We start from the raw sequence: 9,497 nt of genomic DNA, 5'->3' as shown, positions 1-9,497 counted from the left end.
AAATATCAGTATCTAGAATATATACAGAATATCTAAAAATCAACTTTTAGGCTGGGTGAGGTGGCTCATGCCTGTAATCCCAGCACTTTGGGAGGCTGAGGATCACTTGAGGCCAGGAGTTCAAGACTAGCCTGGCCAACTTGGTGAAATCCGTCTCTACTAAAAATACAAAAATTAGTCAGGCGTGATGGTGCACACTTGTAATCCCAGCTACTCAAGAGGTTGAGGTGGGAGGATCGTTTCTTGAACCAGGGAAGGGGAGGTTGCAGTGAGCTGAGATCGTGCCACTGCACTCCAGCCTGGGCAACAGAGCGCCCATCTCAAAACAAAAAAAAAAAAATTTTTTTTAAGTGAGAAATAGTTCAAGACCAGCTTGGACAACATGGCAAAACCCTGTCTCTACTAAAAATACAAAAAATTATCCAGGCTTAGTCAGGCGTGGTAGCGCAGGCTTGTAATCCCAACTAAGGAGGATGAGACATTAGAACTGCTTGAACCTGGGAGGCGGAGGTTGCAGTGATCAGAGATCACACTACTGCACTCTAGCCTGCGAGACAGAAGGGGACTCTGTCTCAAAAAAAAGGGGGGTGGTGGAGAAATAGCTCCATAGAATAAGGATAAAGAACATCAAGAGGCAATCAGAGAAGAAAAGACCAAACCACAAATAAACATGAAAAAGGTGCTGAACTTCACCAGGGATGGGGAAATGCAAATTAAAACCACAAAGAGCTATTTCAAGGGCGGGTGAGGGGCAGACATGTGGTGGTGGCTCAAGCCTGTAATCCCAGCACTTTGTTTTTATTTTTGTTTGTTTCTTATTGAGAAGGAGCCTCTCTTTATCGCCTAAGCTGAAGTGCAGCGGCGCGATCTCCACTCACTGCAACCTCCACCTCCTGGCTCAAGCGATTCTCCTGCCTCAGCCTACCGAGCAGTTGGGATTACAGGTGCCTGCCACAACACCCGGCTAATTTTTTTTTTGTATTTTTAGTAGAGATGGGGTTTCACCATGTTGGTTAGGCTGGTCTCAAACTCCTGACCTCAAGTGATCTGCCCACCTTGGCCTCCCAAAGTGCTGGGATTCGAATCACTTGAGGTCATGAGTTCGATACCAGCCTGGCCAACGTGGCGAAACCCCGTCTCTACTAAAAATACAAAAATTAGCCGGGCATGATGGTGTGAGCCTGTAATTCCAGCTACTTGGGAGGCTGAGACAGGAGAATTGCTTGAACCTGGGAGGTAGGAGGTTGCAGTGAGCCGAGATCACGCCAGTGCACTCCAGCCTGGGCGACAGAGCGAGACCTTGTCTCAAAAAAAAAAAAAGGGCTGGTGAGACTGGGCGGCAAATGAAACTTCTATAAATGCTGGTGCCAGTGTAAAGTGGGACATCCTCTTTCTAGAGCAGTTTGGCAATTATTAGTTATTACTGATAATATTACTAATAATTAGTAATAATAGTTATTACAAATAATATTAAAAAGGCAAATGCCCTCCGATCCAAAGATTTCCTTCTTAGGAAAATTCTCCCGCAAGTGCCCTAAAGGACAAATACAAAAGTGTCCACTGCAGCATTATATATAATGAATATGAAAATAACTTAATTGACCACTAATAGGAGAATGAATCAATACTTTAATGTATGATCCTACAATAGACCACTATGCAAAAGTTAAAATTAATGAACCAGAGCTATATGTATCAGCATTTCAAAAATGTAAGTCAGGTCATATCTCTACTCTGCTCAAAACTCTTCATTTCATTTCAGTGAAAGCAAAATCCTCACAATGGCCTCAATGGCCTACAACCCTCTCTGTGGCCAACATCCCCCAATCCACCCTCACCTACCCAATTATTTTTCTGACATTACCTGACACACACTTTGTTTATAGTTGCAAAGGCTCCTTCTCTTGATGGTCACTAGCTCACCTACCCGGTCCTGTTTTCCTTTTTTTCTAGCCTGATCTCCTTTTGTGAAGGCAGGGATCTTTGTCAGCTTTGTTTATTGATGCATTCCAGATGCTCAGAGTGAACAAACATGGCTGAATCTCAAAATCATAATGTTACCCAAGAAAATCATGTTGCAGAAGGATGTTTATGGTATGATATCATCTACATAAAGTTTTAAGATGTAAAACAATACTATATATATAATCATTGCCTTATTTTTATTTATTTATTTATTTTTGAGATGGAGTCTTACTCTGCTGCCCAAGCTGGAGTGCAGTGGTACCATCTCAGCTCACTGCAACCTCTGCCTCCTGGGTTCAAGCTATTCTCCTGCCTCAGCCTCCCGAGTAGCTGGGACTACAGGCACATGCCACCACGCGCAGCTAATTTTTGTAGTTTTAGTAGAGACAGGGTTTCACCATTTTGGCCAGGCTGGTCTTGAACTCTTAACCTCAGGTAATCCACCCGCCTTGGCCTCTTAAAGTGCTAGGATTACAGGCATGAGCCACTGTGCCCGGCCCCCTTATGTTTTTATACTTTTACTATGTGTAAAGTATAAAAAACTTTTACTATACTTAAAATATATATACTATATAATATTTTATATAGTATAATTACAAATATTTTATATATATTTTTTTTTCTTGAGATGGAGTCTCACTCTGTCCTCCAGGCTGGAGTACAGTGGCGCGATCCCGGCTCACTGCAACCTCTGCCTCCCGGGTCCAAGCAATTCTCTGCCTCACCCTCTCAAGTAGCTGGGACTGCAGGCACCTGCCACCACGCCCAGCTCATTTTTGTATTTTTAGTAGAGACAGGGTTTCACCATGTTGGCTAGGCTGGTCTTAAACTCCTGACTTCGTGATCCACCTGCCTTGGCCTCCCAAAGTGCTGGGATTACAGGCGTGAGCCACCGCACCCGGCCCACAAATGTAATATATTTTATAGTATAATATATAATATATTATAAAGTATAATTACAAATATAATATATAGTATAATATATATTATATATAGTAAAATATATATTATATATAGTAAAATACATGTATTATATATATAGTAAAAGTATAAAAACATAAGGGAATGGTCAACACCAAATTTAGGATAGTAATTATCTCTGGCTGTTGGGAGTGAGTGGGATAGATTGCAATAAATTTTGCATGTTTTGTTTTAAAAAACTGATCTGAGACAAATGAAAAATCATGAGACTTGGCAAAGCTGAAAGGTTTGATTCTATTGTCTTCAATTATTATTATTTTTTTTAGAGATGGAATCTCCCTCTGTTACCTAGGCTGGAGTGCAGTGATGTGATCAGAGCTCACTGCAGCCTCCACCTCCTGGGCTCAATCAATCCTTTTGCCTCAGCCTCTTGCGTAACTAAGACTACTAAGACTACAGGCACACACCATTTTGCCTGGCCAATTTTTGTATTTTTTGTAGAGACAGGGTTTCATCATGTTGCCCAGGCTGGTCTTGAACTCCTGGGCTCAAGCAATCTGCCTGTCTTGGCCTCCCAAAGTGCTGGGATTACAGGCATGAACCACCACACTTGGACCATCTCTGTTCTTTTAACTCTATCTGTGTCTTTGAATCTGAATTTTGTCTCTTGTAAATAGCATGTAGTTTTATTTTTAAAATCCATTCTGAAAATCTCTGCCTATTGATTGAAGTGTTTAGTCCATTTACATTTAATTACAGATAACATAGGATATATATCTGCCATTTTGCTATTTTTAATACATTTTAAGTCTTATTTAATACTCCATTACTGCCTTCTTTTCTGTTAAGTAAATATTTTCTAGTATACTATAGTTATTGCATTGTCATTCTTTTACTATATATTTTTAGTTATTTTCTTAGTGGTTGCCATTAACATCTTAAAACAATACAATTTGGAACCATGCCAATTTAATTTCAATAGTGTACAAAACTTGCTCCTACAAAGGACCATTCCCTCAACCTTCTTTGTACTATTATTGCCAAGCAAATGCATGTTTATAGAATATATGACCCTCAATATATATTTCATGTTTTATATTAGTGCTTTATGCAGTTGTCTGAAGTAAGACAGGAGAGAAAAAGAGTCACAAACAAAACATACATCTATACTGTCTTTTATATTTGCCTTTATTTAGTTACCTTTTCCAATGCTCTCCACTTCATGTGGATTTGAGTTAGTGTCACCTGTTCTTTCATTTCAGCCTGAAAAATGGATGTGCTAGAGTTAAATTCTCTTTAGTTGCTCTTTTTATTTAACATTTTATCTTTTCTTGTTGTGGTAAAATACACATAACAGAAAATTTACCATTTTAACCTTTAAACATTTGTTGTTTTTATCTATTTCTTCTTTCTTTCTTTCTTTCTTTTTTTTTTTGAGCAGAGTCTCTGTCATTCAGGCTGGAGTACAGTGACATGATCTTGGTTCACTGCAACCTCTGCCTCCCAGGTTCAACCAATTCTTGTGCCTTAGCCTCCTAAGTAGCTGGGACTACAGGTGCATGCCACCATACTTGGCTAATTTTTTGTATTTTTAGTAGAGATGGGGTTTCACCATGTTGGCTAGGCTGGTACTGAACTGGCCTCAAGTGATTTCCCTGCCTTGGCCTCTCAAAGTGCTGGGATTACAGGTGTGAGTCACGGTGACTGGCCTTTTTTTTTTTTTTTTTTTGAGACCGAGTTTCGTTCTTATTGCCCAGGCTGGAGTGCAATGGTTTGATCTTGGCATACCACAACTTCCGCCTCCCGGGTTCAAGTGATTCTCCTGCCTCAGCCTCCTGAGTAGCTGGGATTACAGGCATGCACCACCATGCCCACCTAATTTTGTATTTTTAGTAGAGACCGGGTTACTCTATGTTGGTCAGGCTGGTCTCGAACTCCCGATCTCAGGTGATCCACCCGCCTCTGCCTCCCAAAGTGCTGGGATTACAGGCGTGAGCCACCACGCCCGGCTAATTTTGTATTTTTAGTAGAGATGGGGTTTCACCATGTTGGTCAGGCTGGTCTTGAGCTCCTTCAAGTGATCCACCTGCCTCCACCTCCTAAAGTGCTGGGATTACAGGCATAGGTCATCACGCTGAGCGGTCTTGTGTCTTCGTGTGTGTGTATTTTTTTTTTAGTAGAGACAGGGTTTCACCATGTTGGCCAGGCTGATCTTGAACTCCTGACTTCATGATCTGCTGGCTTCGGCCTCCCAAAGTGCTGGGATTACAGGTATGAGCCACCAGGCCCAGCCAGGTCTTGTGTCTTCTAAGTGCATATTTGTATGCTTCATTTCAACCAGTTTTAAATGTACAGTTCTGGGGCACTGAGTACGTTCACATTGTTGTGCTACCATCACTGCCTTCCATCTCTAGAAATTTTTCATCTTCTCTAATTAAAAACCCCATGCCCATTAAAGATTAGCTTCCTAGTTCTCTCTCCTCTGAGCCCTGGCAACCCCATTCTACTTTCTATCTCTATGAATTTAACTACTTTAGGTACCCCATAAAGTGGACAGTATTTGTCTTTTTGTGACTGGCTTACTTCCCTTAGCATAATGTTCTCAAGGTTCATCCATGTTGTAGCATGTCTCAGAATTTCATTCATTTTTACAGCTGAATAATATTCCAGTATATTAATATATCACATTTTGTTGGTCCATTTGTCTGTTGATAGACACTCTGGTTGTTTCCACCTTTCGGCTATCGTAAATAATGCTGCTATGACTATTGGTGTGCAAATTTCTGTTTAGTTCTCCTTATCATGGTTCACTGCAGCCCCAACCTCTTCGGTTCAAATATCTTCCCACCTCAGCCTACGAAGATGCTGGGACTACAGATGCATGCCACCACGCCTAGCTAATTTTTAACTTGTTTGTAGAGATAGGGTCTCATCTATGTTAACTAGACTAGTCTTGAACTCCTGGGCTTAAACAAACCTCCTGCCTTGGCCTTCCAAAGTGCTGGGATTATAGGTGTCAGCAACCACATCTAACCCTTAATTTTTTTTTTTTTTAATAAAGTAAGACGGGGCTTCACCCATGTTGCCCAGGCTGGTCTCCAACTCCTGAGCTCCAGCAATCTGCCCACCTAAATCTCCCAAAGTGCTGGGTTTATAGGCCTGAGCCATCATGCCTGGCTCCGGCCCTTAATTTTTAAAGAATTGCTTTGCTGGATGTAGAAACTTTGGTTGCCAGTTTTTGCCCCACTGCCTTTTGAGCCTCTATAATTTCTTTTCTTTTCCTTTTTTTTTTTTTTTGAGACAGAGTCTCACTCTGTCACCCAGGCTGGAGTGCAGTGGCACAATCTTGGCTCACTGCAACCTCTGCCTCCCAGGTTCAAGCAATTCTCCTACCTCAGCCTCCCAAGTAGCTGGGATTACAGGCGTGCATCACCATGCCCGGCTAATCTTTGTATTTTTAGTAGAGACAGGGTTTCACCATGTTGGCCAGGCTGGTCTCAAACTCCTGACCTCAGGTGATCTGCCCATCTCAGCCTCCCAAAGTGCTGGGATTACAGGTGTGAGCCACCATGTTTGGCCTGTTTTCTTGTTTTGTTTCGTTTTGTTTTGTTTTTGAGACAGAGTCTCGCTCTGTCATCCAAGCTGGAGTGCAGTGGTGTAATCTCAGTTCACTGGAGCCTTGACCTCCCGGGCTCAAGCAATCCCCCCACCTCAGCCTCCTGAGTAGCTGGGACTAAAGGTGCATGCTAATTTTTAAAAATTATTTTTTGTAGAGACAAGGTCTCACTATGTTGCCCAGGCTGGTCTTGAACTCCTGGACTCAGGCAATCCTCCTGCCTTGCCCTGCCAAAGTGCTGGGATTACAGGCATGAGGCACTGTACCTGGCTGCCTCTATGATTTCTGATAAATTAGCTGTTAATTTTATTGAAGATCTCTTGTATGTGATGAGTTGCTTCTGTCTTGCTGCTTTCCAGATTTTCTTTTCTTTTTTCTTTCTTTCTTTCTTTCTTTTTTTTTTTTTTTTTTTTTTTTTTGAGACGGAGTTTCACTCTTGTTGCCCTGGCTGGAGTGCAATGACATGATCTCAGCTCACCACAACCTCCGCCTCCCGAGTTCAAGCGACTCTCCTGCCTCAGCCTCCCGAGTAGCCGGGATTACAGGTATGTGTCACCAAGCCCGGGTAATTTTGTATTTTTAGTAGAGACGGGGTTTCTCCATGTTGATCAGGCTGGTCTCGAACTCCCGACCTCAGGTGATCCGCCCGCCTTGGCCTCCCAAAGTGCTGGGATTACAGGCATGAGCCACCATGCCTGGCCCAGATTTTCTTTTTGTCTTTGACTTCCAGCAGTTTGATTATTATATGTCTACATTTTGTATCCTTTTGAATTTACCTTACTGTTAGTTTTTGAGCTTCCTGGATATGTAGATTGGTTTCTCTTAGCAAATTTTGGAAATTTTTGGCCATTATGGATTCAAATTTATTTATCTATTTTTCTCTCTCTCCTCCCCTTGTTGTTATGCATCATTGGTATGTTTAAAGGTTTCCCACAGGTCTCTGAGATTCTGTTCCTTATTTTCACCTTTTTTCTTTTTGTTCTGGAAAGAGAGACTGGATAATCTCAATTGACCTATCTTCAAATTCAGTGATTAAAAAAATTTTTTTTTGACTGGGTGCACATGCCACCATGCCCAGCTAATTTTTAAATTTTTTGTAGAGATAGGGTCTCACTATGTTGCCCAGACTAGTCTGGGCATACATAAATTGCAGGCATGCAGTCCCAGCACTTTGGGAGGCCAGGGCAGGTGGATCACTTGAGGCCAGGGGTTCAAGACCAGCCTGGCCAACATGGCAAAACCTTGTCTCTACTAAAAATACAAAAAAAATTAGCCAGCTATGGCACTCCAGCCTGGGCAACATGGTGAGACTCTGTCTCAAAAAATAATAAATAAATAAATAAATAAGTACTTTATATTGACACATAATGATTGTAATATGTATGGGGTACACAGTGATGTTACAACACATATAATGTATAGTGAGCAAATTAGGTAATTAGCATATCCATCATCTGAAACATTTATCATTTCTTTGTGTTGGGAACAATCAATATCCTCTTGGTTTTTAAAATAACAACTTTATTGATATATAATTCACATATGTACAATTAATCCACTCCAATTATGCAATTTAGTGGTTTTTAGTATATTCACAAAGTTGTGGAACACTTACATTTGATTATAAAATATTTTCATCACTGAAAAATAAACCCTGTACCCATTAGCAGTCACTACACATTTACTTCTAAATCCCCAGCTGTGGACAATCACAAATCTACTCTCTTTCTTGCTATATTTTTCTATTGTGAACACTCTATGTTTTATTTTTTTAGACAGGGTCTTGCTCTGTCACTCAGGCTGGAGTGCAGCGGTGCAATCATAGCTCACTGCAGCCTCAGCCTCCTGGGTTCAAGTTATTCTCCTGCCTCAGCCTCCAGAGTAGCTGGAACTACAGGTGCACAGCATCATGCCCGGCTAAATATTTACTTTTTTTTTTTTTTTTTTTTTTGAGACAGAGGTTCACTGTGTCGCGCAGGCTGGATGCAGTGGCACGATCTCGGCTCACTGCAAGCTCCGCCTCCCGGGTTCACGCCATTCTCCTGCCTCAGCCTCCCGAGTAGCTGGGACTACAGGCGCCCGCCACCAAGCCTGGCTAATATTTTGTATTTTTAGTAGAGATGGGGTTTCACCGTGTTAGCCAGGATGGTCTCGATCTCCTGACCTCGTGATCTGCCTGCCTCCGCCTCCCAAAGTGCAAAGTGCTAGGATTACAGGCAAGAGCCACCGTGCCCGGCCAATATTTACATTTTTTAACAGAAATGGGGTTGCACTATGTTGCCCAGGCTGGTCTGGAACTCCTGGCCTCAAGTGATCCTTCCACCATGGCTTCCCAAAGTGCTGGGATTACAGATGTGAGCCACCATGCCCAACCCCATGTTTTCAATTTAAGGGTTTCTAAGGAATAGAGTTATCCTAATAACCAAACCCAGACCGTCTGCTTCTCAAACAGAACCAGTTATCCCACTTTGTGACGCCATCTCAGAGACACAGGCTTCTTTTTCCTTCCTTGTTCTCCTTCCTCACCTGCTTCCCTATTAATCTCATGTGTCCCCTCACTTTTTCCTCCTCTCTCTCCCTTCTCTTTACACTTTCGCTCCACTTCCCTTTTTCTCCCCTGCTCTTCCCGCATCTGCTTCAGTGACACAACGTGACTTAGTGAACATGCTCAGGCCTTGGCACCAGGAGATCTCAGTTTGAATCCCAGAACTGTTATGTGCAGTTGAGCATGTCTTTATGTTTGCTCACTTGTAAAATGGATTTAATAACAATTAGCTTTAGTATTGTAGTGAGGATTAAATGAAATAATATACACAGGCCGGGCATGGTGGCTCACACCTGTAATCCCAGCAGTTTGGGAGGCCGAGGCTGGTGGATCATTTGAGGTCAGGAGTTTGAGACCAGCCTGGCCAACATGGTGAAACCCCGTCTCTACTAAAAATACAAAAATAATTAGATGGGTATGGTGACACCCGCTTGTAGTCCGATGTACTCA

The 9,497-nt window shown here is 42.1% G+C and overlaps 3 annotated features.

The window, feature by feature from the left end:
• Positions 400 to 986: an enhancer, noted in NCBI's record as "NANOG-H3K27ac hESC enhancer chr10:76555535-76556121 (GRCh37/hg19 assembly coordinates)". NCBI's record gives its function as "activates a minimal SCP1, AML or CMV promoter by ChIP-STARR-seq in naive H9 embryonic stem cells {active_cell/tissue: H9 hESC(naive)}" and the evidence as "EXISTENCE:reporter gene assay evidence [ECO:0000049][PMID:30033119]".
• Positions 450 to 569: an enhancer, noted in NCBI's record as "active region_3599". NCBI's record gives its function as "activates an Ori minimal core promoter by ATAC-STARR-seq in GM12878 lymphoblastoid cells {active_cell/tissue: GM12878}" and the evidence as "EXISTENCE:reporter gene assay evidence [ECO:0000049][PMID:35858748]".
• Positions 9,046 to 9,246: a silencer, noted in NCBI's record as "peak1017 fragment used in MPRA reporter construct". NCBI's record gives its function as "represses an SCP1 promoter by STARR-seq MPRAs in K562 erythroleukemia cells {active_cell/tissue: K562}" and the evidence as "EXISTENCE:reporter gene assay evidence [ECO:0000049][PMID:32103011]".

Source organism: Homo sapiens, chromosome 10 (genome assembly GCF_000001405.40).
Source record: "Homo sapiens chromosome 10, GRCh38.p14 Primary Assembly".
In the NCBI taxonomy this organism is placed as follows: domain Eukaryota; kingdom Metazoa; phylum Chordata; class Mammalia; order Primates; family Hominidae; genus Homo; species Homo sapiens.
The sequence above is the reverse complement of the archived record's forward strand: the minus strand, read 5'-3'. Positions and strand labels throughout refer to the sequence as shown.